This window comes from Homo sapiens, chromosome 6, assembly GCF_000001405.40.
Source record: "Homo sapiens chromosome 6, GRCh38.p14 Primary Assembly".
Taxonomy (NCBI): domain Eukaryota; kingdom Metazoa; phylum Chordata; class Mammalia; order Primates; family Hominidae; genus Homo; species Homo sapiens.
Genome location: NC_000006.12, coordinates 138,449,802 through 138,476,377, shown reverse-complemented (window position 1 = coordinate 138,476,377; position 26,576 = coordinate 138,449,802). Strand labels below are relative to the sequence as shown.

General features: G+C 41.1%; 1 protein-coding gene across 26 annotated transcripts in view; it reads left to right on the top strand.

The window, feature by feature from the left end:
* Nucleotides 1-26,576, top strand: part of NHSL1 (NHS like 1) — a 271,170-nt gene that overhangs the window by 216,835 nt on the left and 27,759 nt on the right. For all 26 annotated transcript variants that reach the window (XM_047419113.1, XM_047419109.1, XM_047419110.1 and 23 more), the window contains one exon: nt 2,945-3,072. In XM_047419113.1, the coding sequence (XP_047275069.1) occupies nt 2,945-3,072 (128 nt within the window). The remainder of the gene's footprint in view (nt 1-2,944; nt 3,073-26,576) is intronic.

The window sequence follows — 26,576 nt, the reverse complement described above, 5'->3', positions numbered from 1 at the left end:
CAGGATAATGGCCTCCAACTCTGTCCAGGTTGCTGCAAATTATATGATTTAATTCTTTTTTTATGGCTGCATAGTATTCCATGGTGTGTATCTACCACATTTTCTTTATTCAGTCAACTGTTGATGGATACTTAGGTTGATTCCATAGCTCTGCTGTTGTGAATAGTGCTGTGATAAACATATGAGTGCAGGTATCTTTTTTCTATAATGATGTCTTTTCCTTTGGATAGATGCTCAGTAGTGGGATTGCTGGGTTGAATGGTCATTCTATTTTTAGTTCTTTGAGAAATCTCCATACTGTTTTCCATAGAAGTTGTACTAATATACATTCCCACCAATGGTGTGTAAATGTTTCCTTTTGTCTACATCCATGCCAACATCTGTTGCTTTTGACTTTTGTTTTGTTTTGTTTTTTGAGACAGAGTCTCACTCTGTTGCCCAGGCTGGAGTGCAGTGGTGTAATCTCAGCTCACTGCAACCTCTGCCTCCCAGGTTCAAGCAATTCTCCTGCCTCAGCCTATGGAGTAGCTGGGATTACAGGCGTGTGACACCATGCCTGGCTTTTTTTTGTTTTTGTTTTTGTTTTGCATTTTTAGTAGAGACGGGGTTTTGCCATGTTGCCCAGGCTGGTCTCAAACTCCTAGCGCCAAGTGATCCACCGGCCTCAACCTCCCAAAGTGCTGGGATTACAGGTGTGAGCCACCATGCCCGGCCTTGCTTTTTAATTGTAGCCATTCTTGAGTGTTATTTTTTAATCTTAGCTTTAAGGTGGCTATTTAAAGAAAATCTAATCCAGTATTTACAGAATCCCTGAACTCTGCAGAAAATACCATTTGAAAACTACTAATCAGACCGGGTTCAGTGGCTCACGGCTATAATCCCAGTACTTTGGGAGGCCAAGGTGGAAGGATCGCTTGAGTCCAGGAGTTTAAGACCAGCCTAGGTAACATAGTGAGTCCCTGTATCTAAAAAATAAAAAAAATAAAATAATGCCAGGTGTGATGGCATGTACCTATAGTTCCAGCTACTCAGGAAGCTGAGGTGGCAGGATCACTTGAGCCTAGGAGATTGAGGCTGAAGTGAGCCGTGATCATCATGCTACTGCACTCCAGCCTGCGTGACAGAGTAAGACCCTGTCTCAAAAAAAAAAAGAAGAAAACTACTAATCATGTTTTATATAACATTATCTCTGTAGAGTGAGAATAAAACTTCTTTTTTTTTTTTTTTTGAGACCGAGTTTCACTCTTGTTGCCCAGGCTGGAGTGTAGTGGTGCGATCTCGGCTCACCGCAACTTCTGCCTCCCGGGTTCAAGCGATTCTCCTGCCTCAACCTTCCCGAGTAGCTGGGATTACAGGCATGCGCCACCACACCTGGCTAATTTTGTATTTTTAGTAGAGACAGGGTTTCTCTATGTTGGTCAGGCTGGTCTTGAATTCCCGACCTCAGATGATCCTCCTGCCTTGGCCTCCCAAAGTACTGGGATTAAAGGCATGAGCCACCGCGCCCAGCCTGAGAATATAGTTTCTAATCATACTCTTTATTTCAGGAAAATTGTCAAATGGAGAAAATGTGAAAATATTTCTTATAAAGAGTTAGATTAATATGAGTAAATTCTCATTAAAAATATGTTGTGTTCTGGAATTTTCAGAAATTTTCTTTAAATATCCATTTTAATCAATATTACAAGTAGTTGCCAGCCCAGACCACAACATTTTTGACCTATAAGTAACTGAAGTAGTATTAGTTAGCTATTTTATGATTAACATATGCATTTTTTCATTAGTTTGCCATTCTAACAGATCCTCATTTTTGTCTGATTTGCAGTTCTGAATTGTAAACGTTGTCCTTCCACTCCCTCTGTGAGGTAGCAAAGGAGAATCAGGACTTTTTTTTTTATCCCCTGGCTTATTTAAAATTGGTCTAATATTTTTAGCCCTCCACTGAAGTGACTGCCGTCTCCTCTTTGAGGAAGAATCATGGATCCTGATGTCAGAAAGGAACTCTGAAGATGCCCTAGTTTAGTTCTGTGCCTGTAGGTGCATGGTTTTTATAAAGCTATGCAAAGAGAAAACTTTTCCAAAACCACACACGTTTTGTGCTCCTTTAGAAAGCTGGATAGTTAAAGGAACCCTGTGGCAAATCCTTTTTTGAGGCAAATGCCCCTTTGTGCATCTTGGTGCTTTAAAGAGCCATTGGAAGTTTTCTTACAGCACCGGCCCCCACCCATGAGAGCCGCCAGCACAGTGCTTTCCCCTAGAAGGGGATCCTCCTTTCCACACAGCCAGTGGCCCCAGTACCCCGAGATCCATGGCACCATAGTGGTGCCACGCATTCCTCTGTGGACTGGCAGATGTCTCAGGCTGGCACCTGCCTTCCTATTAAATTCCACACAGCATTTACAGGCTGTTTGACATCAAAATTAAATTGAGAAAATTAATATAAAATGAGAGCATTATAATCCATGATCTCATGTGTCACTTCCAGCTAATGAGTCTAGGAAACAAGCATAGCATTAGCATCACTTTTTTTTTTTATGTGGAATAATATCATCACATAATCTGGTAACTAAGGCCCTGGATTAATATTCCGAGTCCACTGCTCACTTGCATAACATTATTGAGCAAATAATATAATTACCCTAAACTTCAATGTCCTGTGAGTAAAGTAGAATTAATGATGGTGTCTACCTCACAGGATGGTTGTGATCTCTGAATACAATCTTATCAAGTATTAATATTAATTAATATTTAATTGATATATGGTATGTAGTGTGTAGTAGGTACTTTAATAATTCTTAGCTGTTTTTATCATTATTTTAAAATCCTATTAATGCCTAGAAAAATATAACTTTAAAAAGTAAAAAAGAGGAGTAAACGTAAAGTAAGTAAAGAGGAGTACAGCTTTTTAATGGCCTCCTTCCCCTCCCTGCGTGCCCCTCTGCAGAATGCGATAAGTTGCGGCATGATGGCTACCGCAGTTCTCAGTACTACTCTCAGGGACCCACCTTTGCGGCCAACGCCAGCCCATTCTGTGATGATTACCAAGATGAAGATGAAGAAACAGATCAAAAGGTAAGCTTCAAAGTTCAACACGGGGTCCTGGGTTGGGTCCCAGAACAGAGAAAGGATATATGTGGACAAACTGGTAAAATCAAAATTGAGCCTGTATTTTAATCAATAGTATTGTCTCAAGTGAATTTCTTGGTTTTGACAAATGCGCCATAATTATGTAAGAGTAACATAAATGGAAACTGGGTAAAGGGTACACAGGAAACTTGCAATACTCTTTGCAGCTTTTCAGAAAATATAAAACTATCCTAATTTTTTAAAAGGTAAGATTATAATCTAAGGAATTCATAAAGGAGACGTAAAATCAGTGTATTTGTGCATCTCAAATATTCTTTTTTGGTTAGAAAAATAAAGGGCTTATTTCTTTTGTTTGAGTTTTCATATGACCAAGGACTCAGTTGTATGACAAAGAAGAACTCTGATCATAATAGCAGAACCCACTGTTTACAGTGCTCAGTGTTATTAATAGAGACAGAATAGAAGAAGTGCATTTACTTAATATTATTGCACTAGCCAATTCATTTAGTGATGCTATTTTACATTTGGGTTCCTTTTCCTCTGCCATCTCTGGTGATATGCACAAACCACTTAAGATAAGTAATTTTCTCAATACTAAATACACATGAAAGAGTAAAAATATATGAAGATTTTCATTTATGTAGTTTTATTTTCATTTACTAAGTAATGTGGATTGACACTGGAATTACTTAAAATAAGATTTGATGAATAGTGTTTTGTTTCACAACCATTTTTAATTAATTAAAAACTTTCAATGGAATTAGGCCAATTTATAAATGCCTTATTGATTGGAGAACATTATTCAAAATTTATTGTCCTTTTCCTCAAATAGGTAACTTCAGAGAATAAAATAATAGTTGATCAAAAAATGGGAAATTAAGCCAGGCATTGTGGCATGCATCTGTTGTATCAACTACTTGGAAGGATGAGACAGGAGGATCCCTTGAGCCCAGGAATTTGAGTTGTGGTCACTCCATTGTACTCCAACCTGGGCAATAAAACAAGACCCTGCCTCAAAAAGCAAAAGGGAAATTACTACCTTAAATTTTTGATCTTCAAATGATCTTCACCCAGATTGTTTTTTAGATTCTTTTTTTTTTTTTTTTTGGTGAGATCTTGCTTGCTCTGTCGCCCAGGCTGGAGTGCAGTGATGCAATCTTGGCTCACTGCAAACTCCATCTCCCAGGTTCAAGCAATTCTCGTACCTCAGCCTCCCAAGTAGCTGGAATTACAGGCACACGCCACCACGCTTGGCAGATTTTTGTATTTTCAGTAGATACGGGGTTTCACCATATTGGCTGGGCTGGTGGTCTTGAATTCCTGACCTCAAGTGATCTGCCCACCTCAGCCTCCCAAAGTGCTGGGATTACAGGCATGAGTCACCGCGCCTGGTCTACATTTTGTAATTAATATTTTAAATTGATAAGTCATAATTATATACATTTATGGAGCACAGTGTGATGATTTGATACAATATGGAATGATTAAATCAGACTAACGTATCTGTCACTGTGCTTACCTTTTTTTTTACGGCAAGACATTTGAAATTTACACTCTTAGTTATTTTGAAATATACAATTTATTATTAGAGATTGTAGTCATCCTGCTGTGCAATAGATCTAAAAACTTATTCCTCCTGTCTGAAATGTTGTCCCCTTTGGTCAACAACTTCCTATTCCTTACCTCCCCACCCAGATTTTTATCACAGAATGTTTTTCCTATTTCTTGAAAGGTATTTTCACATATTGGATTACTCCTTTGAGCCTTTAAAATATACAAAGACGGTATCTTACTATAATGAGTAAAGCAGCCATTTCAAAATTAATCTGAACCTTAATTTTGAAAATTTTTATTTTTCTCTTGTTGGCATGAGTGGAAAATGAAAACCAGAAGGTGAATTACAGAGTAGGACTTCTGTTTATTCAGATACACTTTAGCCTTATACTGATGCTCAGAGAAGGAAGAGAAGTTTATAGTGGGGCCCAGTGAGACAGATGGTTTCTGGGTGTGTAGAGACCACTAGCAAATTGGCATTGTCATGACAGCATCCTAAGATTTTTCTGGAGAATGGAAAAATAATTTCTAAATTCTCACATAGCTCTTTGCTTACCATGACACTCAACTCTGAGGGAAGTTAGCCTCTGCATTAGTTTCTACTCCTCTGTACCATTGCCACGGACCCCGATGGCCAAGCAGCCCTCTCCCAGATGTGTGTGAGAGGGTCGACAAATCACCCCCTAGAAAACAGGCTCCTATCCTGCTGAAAATGAGTGCGAAGAAAATGGTCGTGTATAAGGGAATATATATAAAAGTCATCCTTTATATGATGTGATATGTCATGACATCCCAGTAAACACAAATGTTTCCGTAATAATTACCTTAGTGTGATTTGCTGGCACTGGCATCACTAGACCAGGAATGAGAAGTTGACTGTGGGACCCTTGACAGGTCTCCTTGGGACCCACAGCGTCCTTCTTTTTGTGAAAGGGAGGAGGTAGACAGTGGGGAGGACCTGCCTGGTGTTTGTGGGAGGAGAGCTATTTTCTGGGGTCCCTCCCAACCCTCTCCAAGTTACAGTGTCTGCCCTCATGGCTTTCCTATATTTGGTCTCTTACAAAAGCACCAGCCACTTTCAAATCTTAACTTTCTTTGCTGCTATAAAATTTTTGTTACTTTTGTGATTTTTAAAAATCCAGGTTTGATTGGGCGTGGTGGCTCACACCTGTAATCCCAGCACTTTGGGAGGCCACGGTGGCCAGATCACTTGAACTCAGGAATTCAAGACCAGCCTGGGCAATGTAGCAAGACCTTGTCTCTACAGAAAATAGAACAAAAACTAGCTGGGTGTGGTAGCGCACCTGTAGTGCCACCTACTCGGGAGGCTAAGGTGGGAGGATTGCTTAAGCCCGGGAAGTCAAGGCTACAGTGAGACGTGTTTGCACCACTGCACTCCAGCCTGGGCAACTGGGTGAGACCCTTTCTCAAAAAATAAAAATAAAAATTCAGGTTAATCTTGTTCTCGGGTAAAAGTATTTTGAAATCCTTGGAATATATCATTAGAGATATTTATGGGGAACTTGTATTTTTCCTTTTCTTAAATAAGTAGAACCAAGTTGAAGTATATTAGAAAAATGTTAAATCATTAGATCTGAATGTCATCTCAAGGCAATCTCTGTTAAGAAATTGGTTTCAGAATAAAATAAATATCAAATTATTTTATCAAATATATATTAATTAGACATTATTATATACTAATTAAATATCAGCTAACAAATTATACTATCATAATAGCTAACTGCCTTCTTCCCCTTCCTGCCTCCCCCACTCCCTTCTTTCCTTAACATTCTTCTCTTTGAGCTACCTCATTCAGTGTTGTATTAACCATTTCTTGATTCTGTGGAGCATCAAAAAAGCCACTTGCCACCCACTATAACGTAGCCAATTCGATGACCTTAGGGCATGTTTTCCATCCTTTTGCTTATTCCTCATGATTCGATTAATTGCAGCACTCTGTTTTTTGTGTTTTTGTTGTTGTTGTTGTTTTGTTTTTTGTTTTTGAGACAGGATCTCACTCTGTTGAGTCTGTTGCCCAGGCTGGAGTGCAGTGGCGCAGTCACGGTTCACTGTAGCCTCAACCTCCTGGGTTCAAGTGATCCTCCTGCCTCAGCCTCCCGAGTAGCTGAGATTACAGGTACACATCACCACGCCCAGCTGATTCTTGTATTTTTTTGTAGAGATGGGGTGTTGCCATGTTGCCCAGGCTGGTCTGGAACTCCTGGGCTCAAGCAGTCTGCCTGCTTTGGCCTCCCAAAGTTCTAGGCTTACAGGCGTGAGTCATCGCGCTCAGCCTTGTTCTTCTTAACTATATAAAGTTAACAAGTCTTAGTGCTGCTGTCAGTGACAAAGATCCTGAAATTGGTGTGGAAATTAAACGCATAAGCCTTATGTTTTCTCTACCGCTTCCTGCAGGTCCCTCTACGTAACTCATGTGCGAATGTCTTCAGGTTGAAGTGAGGGTTTCATTTGTGTGCATCCGCATAGTACGTGATTGGCTGCTTAGTTGGCTTATTTATTCAACAGTAATTCTTTGAGTTATTGCTACTAAGTAAATATTTGCCCTGAGTCCAAATCTTTATTAATCTTCATGGCCCTTCCTGCCATTCACTAGGTCACTGTGATGCACGGATGCATCCAAGCTGTACAGCCAGCAGTGGTGGTCATTTAGGACCCAGAAACACTCCTCACCCCTCTGTAATGTGTTCTGAAAAAGAGCTCCTTCAAGCACAAAATTATAATTCCTTTGCAAAATAAGGACTTATTGATCACCTTCTATGTGCCAGAGACTATTCTAGGTGTTGGAGATGTAACAGTAAAGCAAATGCAAGAAATCTCTGTCTTTGATGGAGCTTTGATTTCACGGGGAGGCACTAAGAGCAAATACAGTCATGCATTGTGTAATGACAGGGATACATGCTGAGAAATGCATTGTTAGGTGATTGGTCATTGTACAAATATCATAGGGTATACTTACACAAACCTAGACGGTACAGCCTACTACACACCTAGGCTAGATGGGATAGCCCAGTGGCCCCCAGCTTTTTTGTCACCAAGGACCAGTTTCATGGAAGACTATTTTTTCATGGACCAGACTGGGGTGGGTGGGGCAGTTTTGGGATGAAACTGTTCCATGTCAGATCATCAGACATTAGTTAGAGTCTCATAAGGAGCGCACAACCTAGATCCCTCACATGCACAGTTCACAATAGGGTTTGCGCTCCTATGAGAATCTAATGCTGCCGCTGATCTGACAGGAGGCGGAGCTCAGGCAGTAATGCTTGCTTGACTGCCGCTCACCTCCTGCTGTTCAGCCCAGTTCCTAACAGGCCACAGATGGGTACAAGTGCACGGCCTTGGGGCTGGGGACCCCCGGTATATAGCCTGTTGCTCCTAGGCTACAGCATGTTATTATACTGAATACTCTAGATAATTGTAACATAATGGTGAGCATTTGTGTATCTGAACCTAGGAAAGGCACAATAAAAATGCAGCAGAAATGATGAAAAATGGTACACCTCAATAGGGCACTTACCATGAATGGAGCTTGCAGGACTGGAAGTTGCTCTGGGTGAGTCAGTGAGTGTGGTGAGTGAATGTGAAGGCCTAGGGCATTATTGTACACTATTGCAGGCTTTATAAATACTGCACACTTAGGCTGCACCACATTTACAAAGAAAAATTTTTCTAGCCAGTTTCAGTGGCTCACACCTGTAATCCCAGCACTCTGAGAGGCCAAGGTGGGAGGATTGCATGAGTCCAGGAATTCAAGACTAGCCTGGGCAACAAACTGAGAACCCATCTCTACAAAAAAGAAATATGTTTCTTTCTTCAATAGTAAATTAGCCTTAGCTTATTGTAACTTTTTTACTTTGTAAGCTTTTAAATTTTTTAAACTTTTTGACTGTTTTGTAATAACACAGCTTAAAACATAAATACATTGTATAGCTGTACAAAGATATTTTCTTTATATCCTTATTATGTAACCATTTTTCTATTTAAAATGTTTTCCTTTTTAAACTTTTTTATTAAACACTAAGACACAAGCACACATATTAGCCTTGGCCTACACAGGATACAGGGTCAGCAGCATCAATATCACTGTCTTCCCCTCCACATCTTGTCCTACTGGAAGTTCCTCGGGGCAATAACACCCATGAAGCTGTTATCTCCTATGATAACAATACCCACTTCTGGAATATTTTCTGAAGGACCGGCCTGAGGCTGTTTTACAGTTAAGTTTTTTTCATAAGTAGGAATACCTTCTAAAATAACAAAAAATACTGGCCGGGCGTGGTGGCTTACGCCTGTAATCCCAGCACTTTGGGAGGCCGAGGCGGGCGGATCATGAGGTCAGGAGATCGAGACCATCCTGGCTAACACGGCAAAACCCCGTCTCTACTAAAAATACAAAAAATTAGCCAGGCGAGGTGGCGGGCACCTGCGGTCCCAGCTACTCGGGAGGCTGAGGCAGGAGAATGGCGTGAACCCGGGGGGCGGAGCCGGCAGTGAGCCGAGATCGCGCCACTGCACTCCAGCCTGGGCGACAGCGAGATTCCGTCTCAAAAAAATATATATATATAAAATAAAATAAAATAACAAAAAATATAGTATGGTAAATACATAAACCAGTAGCATAGTCACTTGTTATCATTATCAAGTATGATGTATTATGCATAATTGTGTCATATTTTGTTTTTTTGTTGGTTTTGAGATGGAGTTTCACTCTTGTCACGCAGGCTGGAGTGCAGTGGCACGATCTCAGCTCACTGCAACCACTGCCTCCTGGGTTCCAGCAATACTTAGTAGATTTTTAGTAGAGACGGGGTTTCACCATGTTGTCCAGGCTGGTCTCAAACTCCTGATCTCAGGTGATCCACCCGCCTTAGCCTCCCAAAGTGCTGAGATTACAGGTGTGAGCCACTGAGCCGGGCCTCATATTTTTATATGTGTCATATTTTTATATGACTCTCAGGGCAGTGGGTTTGTTTACACCAGCATCACCACAAGCAAGAGTAATGCGTTGTGCTGTGTTATGATGGCTGCAACATCACTAGGCAATAGAAATTTCTCAGCTCCGTTATGATCTTATGGGACCACCATCATATATGCGGCCTGTTGTTGACTGAAATGTCATTATGCTGCACATGACTGTAAGTAATTTTGCTCTGTTAGAAAGTGGCATATGCTCGAGTAAAATAAACTGGAGGGACGGTTGCAATGTTAAATGAAAAGGATAGGCCTTACTCAGCATAGAGGTGATTGGGATTGAAAGAATGAGCATTTCTGGAAGAACATTTTAGAAACAGAAAAATCATTCATTTCTGGAAGAATGTTTTAGAAACAGAAAGCAGCCAGTGCAATAAATGTTTCTTAAGAGTGTATGTGGGGCCAGTGGCCAGGCGTGGTGGCTCACGCCTGTAATCCCAGCACTTCGGGAGGCTGAGGCGGGTGGATCACAAGGTCAGGAGATTGAGATCATCCTGGCTAACATGGTGAAACCCTGTCTGTACTAAAAATACAAAAAAAATTGGCTGGGCATGGTGGCGGGTGCCTGTAGTCCCAGCTATTCGGGAGACTGAGGCAGGAGGATGGCGTGAACCCGGGAGGCGGAGCTTGCAGTGAGCTGAGATCGCACCACTGCACTCCAGCCTGGGCAACTAAGCAAGACTCTGTTCCCCCCTGCCCCCCCCCCAAAAAGGAGTGTATGTGGGGCCAGGCGCAGTGGCACACGCCTGTAATCCCAGCACTTTGGAAGTCCGAGGTGGGTGTATCACCTAAGGTCAGGAGTTTGAGACCAGCCTGGACAACATGGTAAAACCCCGTCTCTACTAAAAATACAAAAATTAGCTGGGCATGGTGGCAGGCACCTGTAATCCCAGCTACTCGGGAGGCTGAGGCAGGAGAATTGCTTGAACCCAGGAGGCAGAGGTTGCAGTGAGCCAAGATCATGCCCCTGCACTCCAGCCTAGGCGACAGAGCTAGACTCTGTCTCAAAAAAAAAAAAAAAAAGAAAAGAAAAAAAAGTGTAGGAGATATATCAGATGCTGCAAAATGCAAAGATTAATAAGATATCTCTACATGCCTTAAGGATTTTATAGCTCTCCAGGGTAGGGAGAACTAAGTAGAATAAAAAGCATTATATATAACCTGCTGTTATAAGTGTTTGGCATACAGTACTAGGTGAAAAAGAAATTCTTCTGACTTGGATAGTCAGGAAATGGGGGAGGGATCCAGAGAGGGTAAAGTATGTAAGAAGAATAGTTGTGGGGCTGTTGCAACAGGCAAAACGGCACTGAGGACTGAGACCAAAAGTGTAGTTGTGTGAATGATGAGGAAGGGAGTTAGTTAGGAGATGGTGGCATTCAGAGTTAGGAGATCAGTTTCAAGTTTAATTCTGCCACTTGCTGTGTTTCTTTGGATGCATCACACCCCTTTAAGGCATTAATTTCCTTATGTAGAAAGTGGGGAGTGGAGTAAGATTGTTCCCTGTGAGCTTGCAGGACTGGAAGTTGTTCTGGGTGAGTCAGTGAGTGTGGTGAATGAATGTGAAGGCCTAGGGTATGAAGTTGTTCTGGGTGACTCAGTGAGTGTGGTGAGTGAATGTGAAGGCCTAGGGTATTATTGTACTCTGTGAGCTTTTTGAACAAGCAGTTTATTCATTCTTTTTTTTTTTTTTTTTGAAGGCATACATATTGCTTTATGTAAAACATACAGTGAAGAGAGCCAGGCAAGGTGGCTCATGCCTGTAATCCCAGCACTTTGGGAGGCTGAGGTGGGTGGATCACCTGAGGCCAGGAGTTTGAGACCAACCTGGACAACATGGTGAAACCCTGTCTCTACTAAAAATACAAAAATTAGCGAGGCGTGGTGGCACGCACCTGTAATCTCAGCTACTAGAGAGGCTGAGGCAGGAGAATCACTTGAACCTGCGAGGCAGAGGTTGCAGTGAGCCGAGATCATGCCACTGCACTCCAGCCTGGGTGACAGAGCCAGACTCTGTCTCAAAAAAAAAAAAAAAGAAAAGAAAAAAAAAAGTGAAGAGAAAATATCTAGCTATTTGAACGTAATTATTCCAAACAGCGAAAACACACAATTAAAACAAGTGAAGGAAAGCTACTATAAAATAACAGATTAGATACTTTTTAAGGATCACTTATAGTAAATCTAGAAATGGAAAAAAAAAATCACAGAGACAGAATTTGTTTAGCGCTAAGTGCAAATGCTGCTGAGATGTTAGTGGACTGAGGCTCAGAATTTAAGCACTGCAGCTGTTCTCCAGCGGCCTAGGGCTGCTGTCTTCTGCAGCGCTCCCATCCTCGGCCTTCCTGCCCTGACCTGTCTTCAGAAGTGCCTGGCGAAGGCAGCGATGGCGACCACCTGCAAGATGGCCTCCAGGCCGTGGAGCTCCAGGAGTGTGGCGCTGAGGGCCCAGTCCGCCCACGACACCAGGGTCTGCCAAAGCAGGAAGTGGGCAGAGAGGAGGACGGTGCCGGCCGTGATGGCCAAGCTGGCGGCCAGCAGCCTCTCAGCCTCTGTCAGGCTGCCCCTGGTGCCCAGGTATAACTGTACTGCTTCCCATCAGAAACAACGGAGTGAGATCGAGGACCAGATAGCGGTGAGGATAGCTGAACACCTGACCTCGTGCGCGGCCACCATCTTGCTCACCCCCTCATTCATTTACTGAGTAAATATTTATTCAGTCTTGCCAATATGCCAAGCATTGTTCTAAGTCCTGAGAAGCCATCAAGTGAACCAAAGCCACTTCTGTTGAAGGAAAGATCATGGTGAACAAACAAGCATCATACAACACCAGGTGGTGATACGTGTTATGAAGGTAAATAAAACAATGGTAAGGGGAGTTCTAGAGCAACAGGACTGCCATTTTAGATTGAGTGTCCAAGAAGGACTCTGAGAGTCATCATTAGAGCAGACTACCGAGTGACATATAAGAACGTCACACAAGTGGGAGTTGAGCAGTGAGAACACATGGACACAGGGAGGGGAACATCACACACCGGGGCCTGTCAGCGGGGTGGGGACAAAGGGGAGGGAGAGCATTAGGGCAAATACCTAATGCATGTGGGGCTTAAAACCTAGACGACGGGTTGATAGGTGCAGCAAACCACCATGGCACATGTATACCTATGTAACAAACCTGCACGTTCAGCTCATGTATCCCAGAACTTAAAGTAAAATAAAAAATAAAACTTTAAAAAAAAAAAAAAAAAAGAACATCGCACATGGGAAGGCCTGGAAACCTTATTTTAGTTATCCTGCGAGAAGAATAGCCACACACCAGAGCAAGTGGGCACTGAGCAAGGGGAAGAGTGGCGATAATGACTTTGGAGGAAATAACCAAGGACCAGATCACATAGGACCTAATTAGCCATAGTAAAGATTTTGGATTAGTTGCTCCTGGGTGAGATGGGGAGTCACTGGAGGAGTTGAGCAGGGAAGTAACATGATCTGATTGATTATTTAACGGGATTGGTCTGTAGGAAAATTAGACCATAGAGAGTGGAAGACAGAAGCACAGAGACAAGACAATAGGCCCTTGCAATAATCCAGGCAAGTGATAGCCAAGGGTGGCTGGGACCAGAGTGGCAGTGGTGGTGTTTCTAGGTTTATTTGGAAAGTGAATCCTGCAGGATTCGCTTAAGTTATGAGACAAAGAAGAGTTGAGGATAACTCCATCTGCTATTTTTCTAGCTTGGTCTCTCTAGAATCTCATTACAAAAATTATTTCACCCCCTGAGAAATTCTCACCCATTAACCCTGCCCTCTTCATCTACACACTCATCCTTCCTTGGCTTATATTACATGGCCTGCCATTGCACTCACTTCTTTGCCCACATTTTCAACTCTGCTGGCTCCTTTCTTCTTCTGCCACTTTCCTGGCAAAGAACCCAACTCCAGTTTGATCCACCTTTTCCCTGCTTTGCACTAAAGCCTGATTGGTTAGTTAAATGAGGCTAGAGAAGAACGCCAAGGTATATTTCACTGTAAATGTATGACCTCAAGCCTCAAGTGCTGCCTAGCAGTCCTACTATATTAACTCATCAGTTCATTCTTCCACTCTCCCAAGTAATATTTCACACCTTCTCAAATCTCCAAACACAACTTCTTCTGCTTCACTTGCAGATCCTGCCTGCTGTGGTTTGGATATGGATGGAGTTTGTCCCCACCAAAACTCACATTGAAATGTGATCCCACTGTGGTAGTGTTGGAAGTTGGGGCCTAGTAGGAAGTGTCTGGGCTGTGGAGGAACATCCCTCATGAATAGCTTGGTGATGTTCTCTGGCTTGGTAGTGAGTTTCTGCCCTCTCTCTCTTGATGGGATTGGTTCTTGTGGGAATAGATTAGTTCCAGTGAGAGTCAGTTGTTATAAAGCCAGGAGCCCCTCAGATCCTCCCCTCATTGCATATGCCTGCTTCCCTTTTGATCATCTCCACCATGTTTTGACACAGCATAAGAGCCATTGCCAGAAGCCAGGGCCATGCCCTTGAACTTCCCAACCTGTGAAACCATAAGCTAAATAAACCTCTACTCTTTATAAACTACCTAGTCTCAGATATTCTTTTATAGCAACAGAAAACAGACTCAGACTCTTCCCTTGGTATTTGCTGCACTAGGAAAACAAAAGCAATCAGGGGTCATATCTTTTCATCACCAAACCCATCAAACTTCTTACATCTCCTCCTTAATGGACTCACCCTTTCCCGCCATTGTAATGCCCTGCTGTGTCCCAAGTGGCTAGCTCAGGGCCTGGCACACAGTAGGCACTCAGTATTTTTCCAGTGGGATGAATAAGGCCAACCTCTCAAGGACTTCATATTTGCAATTCATCCCTCTCTCTTAGCCCTAATCAATTTTCTGTCTTGATTGCATCATAACCATCATTATACAAACATGCTATATTTTCTTTCATCTTGAAGAAACCCTACTTTGACCTTTCATCCCCCTCAAATTTCTACCACATTGTTCAGTTCAACTTTATAATTAAACATGTCCAAAGAACTGTCTAGACTTGCCATCTCCACTTCCTTTCTTCACAATCTCTTTTGAAGCCCCTCCAAACAAACTTTTATCCCCAGCGCACACTTAAACTACTCTTGTTAAGTCTACCAGTCACCTCCACGTTGCCAAATCTAATATTTAATAGTTAATTCTCAGGCCTCATCTTACTCAACCTCTCAGCATTTGACATTGTTTATGATTCTTTTCTTCTAAGAATACTTGGCTCTCATGACACAACACACTCCTGGTTTTCCTCTTCCCTCTCTAGCCATTGCCTCTCAATCATTTGTTGAATAGTCCTTTTCTTCCAAATATGTAAAAGTTGGTTTAACTCGGGGCTCAAACCTTGTACCCCCGCTACTCTGTAGCAGTCTGACTCCTTGGGTGATTTCACTGAGTCCCAAGGCTTTAAGTACCATGCATTGATGTTTCCTAAATGTATATCTTTAGCCCAGACTCATGCAGTTATCTGCTTACTGTCCATCTCCACTGAAATGTCTTACAGGTATCTCAAACTTGTCCAAATCCAAATATGTGATTCTCACATTTCCAAAAAAAAAACTTCCTTCTTTCATAGTTTTTCAAAACCACCTCAGTAAACCACAACTCCATTCTACCAGTCACTTAAGTCAAAAACATTGGGCCTGGTCTCAATTCTTTTCTTTTTCTCGCACCTTCGGCAACTTCTGTAGGATTACCAATTTTTGAAACACCTTTGAAACCTCAATTCAGGCATCCTGCAATGGGTAGGTCAGGGAGTATGTCCATAGAGTAGGCAGCCAAGGCAGGTTAGAAGCGAGGCTGTGAAGGATTCAGGTAGGTGTTGGATGGGTCGTGCTATGGATATTGAGTTCACCAGGAGTGATAACAGGAGTGCTGGTGGAGGGAGGCTGAGGTGCGCTCACAGAGGGGCAGTGCTAAGTGAAGGAATTCCTTTATTGCATAGCTAACAGGAAATCTCTAACACATTTTTTAAGCAGAGAATTTTATGATTAGGAATAAAAATTATATACAGTAATCCCTCAGTATCCATGGGCAACTGGTTCCAGGATTTCCCACAAATACCCAAATCTATGGATGCTCAAGTCCCTTATATCAGATGATGTAGTATTTGCATATAACCTACACATATCCTCTCATATACTAGATCACCTCTAGATTACTTATAATAACTAATATAATGTAAATGCTATGTAAAGAGTTGTTATACTGTATTGTTTAGGGAATAATGACACAAAAAATGTCTGTATATATACAGTTACAAACACAGCCATTCTTTTATTTTTTGTTCAAATACTTTTAATCCATGGTTGGTTTAATGCACAGATACAGAACCCCACGTTATAGAGGGCTGATGTATATCATCTTTTGATAGATGGGAGATACATAGGTAATTTTGAAACTGATTTTCCAGTTTATACATTGTATCAAAACTGACCCTAGAAAAGAGGAAATATTTTATCAGAGTGATTACCATAAAAAAAAAGAAATCTTATCAAACGTTTACATCAAATTGAAAAAAATGCCAAGCCCAGATGGTCTTGTGTATGTTGGGTGGGGGCGGTCTTCTACCAAAGATTTTAAAGAGTAGGTAAGTCCAATGCTTAAAACTTTTTCAGAGCAAAGGGAAAAAGTGCGGTTCTTTTTAATGAATTAGTTTAACACTGATGCCAAAACCTGGCAAAGACTGTACAAAGCAGAAAATTAACTGGCCAGTCTCACTCATGAATATTGGCATTAGAGATCATAAATAACACATTAGGAAACGTAATCTGACAGCTCATTAAAAGAAATATTCCAAAATCAACCTGGGTTTATTCCGATAGCAATGCAAGGATGCTTGATACTAGGTAATCTAATTATATATTAATAATATTAATAGATCTGAAGAGAAAAATTTTATATAGTCAAAACTGTAGATATTGACAAGTTATTTGGTAGAATTTAATGGCCATTCTTGATTTAAAAAAATATAGCAGAACTTAACAAAATTTATCTGCCTTGTCCTCCAAATCCAACAATTTTTAATGGGCTGTTCCCACTAGAATGAGATATAAGAGAAGGACATTCACTATCATTATTACCACTTAGCATAGTATGGAAAGAGGTAGCCAAGACAATCAGGAAAGCTGTAGTGTAAAAAGTGCAGAAGTGAGAAAGATTGAGATTATATTATCACTCTTTGTTCATGGTTAAGTCTTTCTTGGGTAAATCCAAGAAAGTAATATTTCAAAACTTCTATAAATAACAGTTCAATGATATAGTAAGGTATACAAGTAATATACAGCAATCAATAACTTTCATATCTACAAAGTCAAATTAGAAGATACAACAGGAAAAATCTATTTAAAATAGCTATTGCAAAGTACAGATACATTTAATAAGAAAAGGACAAGATCTATATGAAAGAAACTTTAAAAAATACTATATGGTCAGGCGTGGGACTCATGCCTGTAATACCAGCACTTTGGGAGGCAAAGTTGGGTGGATCACCTGAGGTCAGGAGTTCAAGACCAGCCTGGCCAACATGGCGAAACCCCATCTCTACTAAAAATACAAAAATCAGCTGGGCATGGTGGTGTGTGCCTGTAATCCCAGCTACTCGGCAGGCTGAGGAAGGAGAACCCAGGAGGTGGAGGTTGCTGTGAGCCGAGAGTGTGCCACTGCACTCCAGCCTGGGTGACAGAGCAAGACTCTTTTCTCAAAAACAAAAACAAACTATAGAACACAAATAAGATTTGAATAACTGAAAAGACATATCACATCCTCAGAGGCGTTAATATCAGAAAGCTCACCATTCTGCCCAAGTTAATTTATAAGATTAACACAATACCAATAAAAACGTGAGTAGATTTTTTCTGGGTTTTTTTTTTTGTTTTTTTTTTTTTGAGACAGATTTTCACGTACTCTGTTGCCAGGCTGGAGTGCAGTGGTGTGAACTTGGCTCACTGCAACCTCTACCTCCCAGGTTCAAGCGATTCTCCTGGCTCAGCCTCCCGAGTAGCTGGGACTACAGGCACATGCCACCACACCCAGCTAATTTTTGTATTTGTAGTAGAGACTGGGTTTCACCATGTGGCCAGGATGGTCTCGATCTCCTGACCTTGTGATCTGCCCTCCTTGGCCTCCCAAAGTGCTGGGATTACAGGTGTGAGCCACCACGCCCAGCCTAATTTTTGTACTTTTAGTAGAGATGGGGTTTCACCATTTTGGCCAGGCTGGTCTCGAACCCCCGGACCTCAAGTGATCCACCTACCTTGGCCTCCCAAAGTGCTGGGATTATAGGCTGTTCTGTTTTGTCTTGATCTGAGGCTACTTTGGGGGATGAGAGGAGGAGAGAGACGACTAAGGAAGCTGAATCTAAAGTTTGTGTAGCTAGGAAAGCTGTAAAACAAGAGAGCAGTAAGGAAGAACTGACTTGACCCGGTATGAGAACATAGAGTTAGGGATTCCTCCATTGTGGCAGCTGAATGTGCAAACCAGTATAACAGAATATTAAAAACAGAATAGAAGTCTAGAAATAGACCTAAATCTTCATGGGATTTAGTAGATCATCAAGCTATCATTTGAAATCAAGTGGGAATCCAGTAACTGTTGAAAGGGGCTCCAGGCCAGCAGTATGGTCTTCCGTGTTAAGACTAAGACTCCTAACCGTGGTTCATGTTCTTAACATCACCCTAACAGTTGGGATTTTTTTTTTTTTTTTTTTCAGTTGGAGTTTCACTCTGTTACCTAGTCTGGAGTACAGTGGCACAATCTTGACTCACCACAACCTCCACCTCCTGGGTTCAAGAGATTCTCCTGCCTCAGCCTCCCGAGTAGCTGGGACCACAGGCACGTGCCACCATGCCCAGCTAATTTTTGTATTTTTAGTAGAGACGGGGTTTCACTATGTTGACCAGGCTGGTCTTGGGCTCCTGACCTCGTGATCCGCCCACCTCGGCCTCCCAAAGGGGATCATTTTAAATATAGAGTGTGTAGGAGTCAATTTGGAAGGGAAATTCGATCTGGAAAACCTTTTATTTTGTATTTCCTAGTAGGTGTTGAGGGGAGGGGTGTGTTACAAAGAGCAGTGACTATATGGAAGAAGGGATGCATGAGTTAACAAATTATTGACTTTAAAAGAGGTATTTCTTACAAAAATCATCTAATTTGCATTCAACAAATATTAAAAATCCATTATGTGCTTAAGATGAGTTGCTAATATGGCAAAGGTTAAGGACATATAAATTAGAAAAGAGAACCTAGAGGACGTCGATTCTGGTTATTTACTCTGGCTAATTGTTCTAGAATAATTATCTTCATTATCCTAATGTGAAACACCAAGTAGGACTCTATGTGTTATGTTATGAAGAAAGATGTTTTGCTAACGAGATCCACACATATCTTTGATGTTCAAAGTGGGAATATAGTGTAGCAAGAAGAAAATTGTTGAAAATATTTCCAATTGTATATGTTATGCATATCATCTAAACATAAACATGATGCATTGAAAAAAATACTGTTGGCAAAGCAATTTAGAAATTCCAGAAAATAAGCCAGGCATGGTAGTGTGTGCCTGTAATCCCAGCACTTTGGGAGGCTGAGGCAGGCGGATCCCTTGAAGTCAGGAGTTCCAGACTAGCCTGGCCAACATGGTGAAACCCTGTCTCTACTGAAAATATAAAAATTAGCCAGGCGTGGTGGCATGCACCTGTAGTCCCAGCTACTCAGGCTGAGGCAGGAGAATTGCTTGAATCTGGGAGGTGGAGGTTGCAGTGAGCTGAGATCGCACCACTCCACTCCAGCCTGGGCGGCAGAGTAAGTGAGACTCCATCTCCAAAAAAAAAAAAAGAAAGAAAGAAATTCCAGAAAATACCTTTTCATTCAACTCTGAAATCAAAGAGTACACCATTGCTTTGTGTACTGTTTTTGACTTTTTTCTCTTTTCAGTTTTCAGCATATGCCAAGTACTGCCAAAGAGGTTCTTGCATTTGAAGGCAGGTCAGTTATCAGTGCGAAAATACTTACTGTGAGTCGATAGGGAATTTTTCCACCTGCCATTATCGGAAGTTATATTTGATGATACGTTCACTGAATCTGGGAAACCTTCACAGAATCCCCATTGTCTTAGCAGAAAGGATATCAATCATGAGTTATGCAATCTCTTGTGTAAAATTCACCCCTAAAGAGATGTATTAGATCTAGATTTTTGGCAGTAAACAGTTGGCTTTAATAGTCGTGACAGAAATCGAAATTTCCCTGTTTCCTGTTATTCTTTGAACTGGCATGTCAGCTTCTGTTTTAGGCTTTGTTGATAAGAAATATTTAAATCAAAGGAAGACTTTGAAGAAAAGGCAGTAACCTTGCTGCCATACCTGTAAACACAGGAGGCTTATTTAACATGATGCTTGAGAGCGTAGGTTTGGGGCAGCTTTTCCACCTGTCAGAGCTCAGTGGCCTTGGATAAGTTGCTTTCGTCTGTGAGGTTCAGGTTCCTCAACTGTAAAGAGATAAAAACCACATGTTCCGGTTTGCTTAGAACAGCCCTGGTTTACAGCTGTTATTCTGTGTAATTATTAATTGCACCCCCTTTCACTCTCAGAGGTGTTCTGGTTTCGATAAAATTACATAGTTACCCTAACCTACCTTGGAGAGTTGGTGTGAGGTTGAAGTAAATTAATGTTTGTGAAACCCTTAGCACAGTGCCTGGCACAGACTAGATGCTCAGATGATGATGATAAGTATTGTTAAGCTGATTGGTATTTCAAACCACGCTTCAAAGAAAATGATTCAATAGACAATGTCTGTTTTTATAAAAATTTGGCCACTCTCCCAATCATCTCGTCTTTTGTTCCACCCACATAGAATTTCCTGCCCAAGGCAATAAATTTGAGAGGTTTCAGCAGCTACTGACGAATTTCTGATTGTCATGGCTTTACAGGTTATCTAGGTGTGGCACTACCAGTGTTTATGCTATTGCTAGCTTGTTCATCGGGGTACACGTTAGGATATAGAACTTTTTCACAAATTAGATCTTATTTTCCACAAACAGCCCCATGAAACAGATTATTTTAATAGCTATTACTATTATTTTAATCTGGAAATGGAGACTCAGAAATATGAAATGGCTTTCTCAAGATCACATAGCTCGAAAGCACCAGGAAGCATGCGAAGGCGGGGCTCCTTGCAGGGAGCATGTGAAGGCGGGGCTCCTTGCAGGGAGCATGTGAAGGCGGGGCTCCTTGCAGGGAGCATGTGAAGGCGGGGCTCCTTGCAGCTCATTTCTTTTCATCGCACCATGCTGGTTAAGCAAAAGGGCAAGATTACTCAGTTACCTCAATTCCTCCTCATTATGCCCAATTTTGTCATCTCTTATTCCTCTTTGACTTGTCTGGTATGCTTCACTCAATTTTTTTTTCCCCCAAAAAAGTTTTTAAGTGCTACTTGGTCTCAGTATATGGATCCCATTCTTGGCCTAGGGCAGCTTACAGTCGAGAAGTGATTACTCCATGTCCAATCATGTGTTACTGGGTCTCTGTGAGTAATTTCAGGAAACTGTAGAAACACAAATGAGTCAATGCTCACTGCTCTGCAGTTATGGCACCTTCTTATTCCATGCCATTGCAGACAAAAATGAGAAAATTGGGGTCTGTCATTCCCACGCCTTTTTGCCTGCAAACCAGTGAGAATGTCTCCAATGACCCATTCCAGTTTCTCTTGCTGTTTCCATCCCACTACTCTATAATCAGGGTCTGTTTATACCTGCCTTCTCTTCTAGATTAATGGACAGCATCCCTATCTTGTTGATCTCTGTGTTTCCAGTATGATGCCAAGCACTTGGCACATGGAAAGGCTCAGGCGCCAGGGACTGTGCTCAGTGCTGTATGTGAATATATTCAGTATTTATTGCAACCATGCAAAGTAGCTTTGATTATGCCCATATCATGGATGAGAAAACTGTATCTTGGAGAGATTAGATCACTTGCCTAAGATCACATAGTTTTTAAATACTGAAACAAGATCTTTCTTTATTAAAACGCCTTTTATTGAAGTATAACTTACATAAAATAATCTATACATATTTAAAGTATACAACTTAATAAATTTTGACATATGTATACACACAGGAGACCATTACCATAATCAAGAGAGTGAACACATCTATCACCCCTAAAAGCAAAACCAGGATTTAAACCTAGACTTACGACTCTAGAGCTCATGTTTTTCCCCCAGTAATGACTGTATGGGGAGTAGAGCCTTTGCCACAGTCCTTTCCTCCTAACCATTCTCATTCTCTTATGGGGAGTTTTGCATTGTTGAGATAATACAAAGAGCATCTTTTACAACCCAATTGTCCATCAATAAAAAATGTGAATAAATTAGTACTGGAGTGGAATGTATACCCCAGTGAAATGAATGAATTACAGTTTCACACAACTACATGGATGTGTCTTAGAAAGATAATAGTAAGAAAAACACAAAGAGAATAATACTATTTTTGTAAAAGTCAAAGCAAGTTTATGCACGCACGCACACACACACACGCACACATATAACAAGGAGTAATTAGGAACACAAAATTCAGGCTAGTGGTCACCTCTGGGGAAGTAGGGAGATGGGATGGGGCATGGAGGGAGATGCAGGTTTTTAGTAATATTTTAGGTCATGGGTTGAGTAGTGAGTTCTTGAATATTCATTATGTTATATGATTTTAATACATAATTTGTTATTCTAAAATATGATTACAAACAACTTACTGTATCAGTTTAAACATATATGTTCTAATTAAGTATTTTCTTTCATTTGAGGAAAGGATCGCTTAATATGGGATAGTTAAGATCCAAAATATTTTAATTCACTGTGTGATAAGAAAGTTTAGAGCTCTTAGGGCCTGGTGCAGTGGCTCAAGCCTGTAATTCCAGCACTTTGGCAGCTGAGGCAGGAGGATGGCTTGAGCCTAGGAGTTCAAGACCAGCCTGGGCAATGTGCAGGACCCTGTCTCTACAGAAAGTTTTCAAAAATTAGCTGGGCATGGTGGCTTGTGCCGGTCATCCTAGTTACTCGGGAGGCTGAGGTGGGAGGATCGCTTGAACCCAGGAGTTTGAGTCTGCAGTGAGTTGTGATTCTGCCACTGCACTCTAGCCTGGGTAACAGAGTGAGACCCTGTCTCAAAAAAATAATAATACAATAAAAATAAATGAAAAATAAATAAATTAGCCAGGGACGCTGATGCACATCCATACTCCCAGCTACTTGGGAAACTGAGGCAGGAGGATTGCTTGAGCCCAGGAATCTGAGGCTGCCATGAGCTGTAATCACTGTGCTGCACTCTAGCCTGGGCAAGAGGGCAAGACCTCATCTCAAAAACAACAACAACAAAAGAAAGTTTAAAGCTCTTGATAAAGCAATTAGATTTGAGGTAAAGGGACTAATATAATACATATGAAAGAATGAACAATTAGGCTGGGCATGGTGGCTCACGCTTGTAATCCCAACACTTTGGAGGCTGAGGCGGGCGGATTACCTGAGGTCAAGAGTTTGAGACCAGCCTGGCCAATGTGGTGAAACCCCATCTCTACTAAAAATACAAAAATTAGCCAGGCATGGTGGCACGTGCCTGTAATCCCAGCTACTTGGGAGGCTGAGGCAGGAGAATTGCTTGAACCTGGGAGGCGGAGATGCAGTGAGCCAAGATTGCGCCACTACACTGCACTCTAGCCTGGGCGACAGAGTGAGACTCCGTCTCAAAAGAAAAAAAGAATGAACAATTAAAGTTACTTAATAATATGGATGTGGAAGTCACCTGTTGGCCATCATGGAGTTGCTGGATGAACCATGAACTGTGCTTCTACATGGATTCATTTCCACTACCCCCACTTTTTCTGTTGTTGTTGGCGCCAGGAGAAAAAAAAAAGAATGCACAGAGAACAGAAATCAGTGAGGGTCTCTTGTGTCTAAATCTACTAAAGACAGAAGAAACATATAGCCAAAAGGCTGCAGACGTTTTGGCACCCTATGAAACTATTAAGGATCTTGAAAACCAAGAGTCAACACAAGAGGTTTAATTCTGGGAGGAAGAGCATCAAAGACTAAGTGTCTTCCAAAAAGGACTGGAATGTATGTGGCTGTCTTCTTAAAGACATCAACTATATAGTTCTGTATAGTTGATATGTTCTATATAGTTTCATCTGTTCTCTATTTTCATGTAATAATTCTAAATGAATACTAAGTTTAGCTCTGGCTATAATTCAGTTTTCTAACTTTTACTAACAAATCAAAACAAAAAAGACTGAATTAATCTGTGTTTCTTAGTTAATCCCACTTTTGGATCAGTTGGCTCTTCTGAGAAAGAGAGCATATTTCGTATGAGAATATATGGGAAAGAGACCCTATTTCAGGCCCCACACTGTCCATCTGGTGAGAGCTTGTCTGATTTCCGGGTAGAACCTAGAAGTCTCTAAAATGCAGGTCTTCCAGCATCCAAAATTTACAAAGTAACTGTCAGTGTTGCCTGTTTCTCTCCCTTTCTAAATGAAACAATTTGACACAAGGAATCATGGCTTATGTTTCATTTGTGACTCTCCATTCCTCCCAGGACCAGGATATGGGGTATTGGTGAACATTATTGACCAACTGACAGATCCCAAAACTGCATTTAAGTTCTGAGAGCAAGGCAATTTTAAACTCAGTTTTTAAAAAAGTCACCCTATATTGAGGGATTTCATTAACATGAAGCATTTGAATGCTACTTGGGTCATTCTGTTCTCTGTATGGGGAGATTGAGTTGATCAAAACATACACCTAGTAAGTGACAGTGCCAGGATGCTGGTACACACTGTTTTTTTACTTGTATAGCTTTTCAAAAGGTTTCATTCTTATTTACAGACATAAAGGGAGATTTTGTTTTGAGACCAGAAGACCTAGTAATTTATTGTAAATATTGCCACATTGTTATTTTACACTGTTTCACAGGGGAGACTTTGGGGTCAGTTCTGGCTTCTAATCTCAACTGCCCACTTGTGAACTTTCCAAAAGTCAAGTTACTTTACTCCTTTGAGTCTCCACTTCCTTATTATTAAACAAGGCAAACACTGTGAAGATTAAGTGAGATAAGTTCTATAAAGTCCCCACCAAGGGCAAGGCATATAGCTATCAGTTACTAAATCGTGGCCCTTCTGAAGCTCAAATTCTGAAATAACCTTCTATGCAATTCTGATTCAAAGCTTCATGGAACTTATATTCTTGTCGGAGAGACAATATATATAAATAAAATATATGTGTACTAGTTATATGTACTAAAGAGAAAAAAAGCAGGGAAAGGGGATACAAAATATTAGAAAGAGGTTGAAATTGAATAGGATGAACAGTTAAGACCTCAACAAAAGAGGACTCTTAAGGGGACCTAAAGAAAAAGAAGGGGCTACCTGTGTGGATGTCTACGGGAGGAGCATTTCAGGCCATGGGAACAGCAAGTGCAAAGGCCCTGAGGCGCGAGTGTGCATGGAAGGTACAAGGTACAGCATGGAGGATGGTGTGGCTGGAGTAGAATAAATATGGGAAAGAACAGTAGGAAATGCAGTCAGGGAGATAACAGTGGCCAGCTGGTAGATCATGTAGGGTCTTGGAGGTCATAGTAAGGACTTTGGAGGGTTTGAACAGAGGAGCAACATGATCTGACTTACATTTCTAAAAGGATTCCTTCGCCTGCTGTATTGAGAGTAGACTATTGGAAGAGGAGGAGCAGGGGAGGATGGTCAACAAGGGCAGAAAAGTGGGGGTAGTTAAGAGGCCAGTGTAATAATCCGGTATTACTATGTCCATCTTAATGGGCTAATCATGTGTTCTGCCACTGAAATGAGGGAGGTTTTTCTGTGCCCCTGCTGTGTTTATACACACTGGGAGGCATGAAAGTCATATCATTGTGGAAGTCATCCATGCTGGTGTTTTACTGTCATCTAGTAGATTGTGAGACCTAACAGTCACATTTGCATATAACTTTATCTGTGCCCTGCTTGTCTGGGAAATTTTCTTGTAAGAGAAAGGAGCACTTTACAAAATGGACTCTCTTTGTCAGTTGTCATGCTGGAGTGATCTGTGGTGATTGTCCCTACGGGGAAGTGCTGTTTCATTATGAGAGTTATCGATTCTGACAGTGTCAGTCAACTAGAAGAAAAGTAGGTTAGTGGGGCTGATGAGCACCATTGAGATGCTTACAAATGGTAGACAGTGCTTCATCCTGCTCCCACAGCAGACGTCATGTGGAAAAGGGAGCCCTTGCTCCAGGGCATAGAGAGCTGTAGCCTGAAAGCTTTACTTTTCTTTCTTTTAAACCTTTCTGGTTAGGATTTGCTTCTTACTGCCTTCAAGCTTTATACTGTAATTCAAGGTTGCCTGAAAAATTATATTTATGTGTATGTATCAGGAAATTGGAGTAATCCTCTAATTTACTAGCTTGAAATTCAAACTCAGACATGTGGCCCTTATACAAACTGCCATGAAATTCTTCAGTGACATTAATTTTAAGTGTGTGTGTGTGTGTGTGCACATCTCAAGGGTAGAGAATATGTATTATAAATCAAACTTAAGTGTCACAACTGCAAAACAGCTGGAAATAATTGATTTACATCAGTATGGCTTAGCTGCTGCTGACCCAAAAATTCCTTTGATTGTCTTTAAGGATCTGTGTGAGTTTTAACCCTTTTAACCAGAATCAGATCAAGTATCAATGGATATAGTGCAATTTAGTATTACAAGACACCAACAACATGCTCAGTTTATAAATTGAGTATATTTGTCAATTTAATTAAAACATTATTTCACATTTTCCTTAGGTGGAAAAGAAACTGGATGATCATTTTATGTGTTTTATTTATTAAGAACATCAAGTAAATGTATTGAGATATCTAATTATATGATTTATCTTTTCCACATGC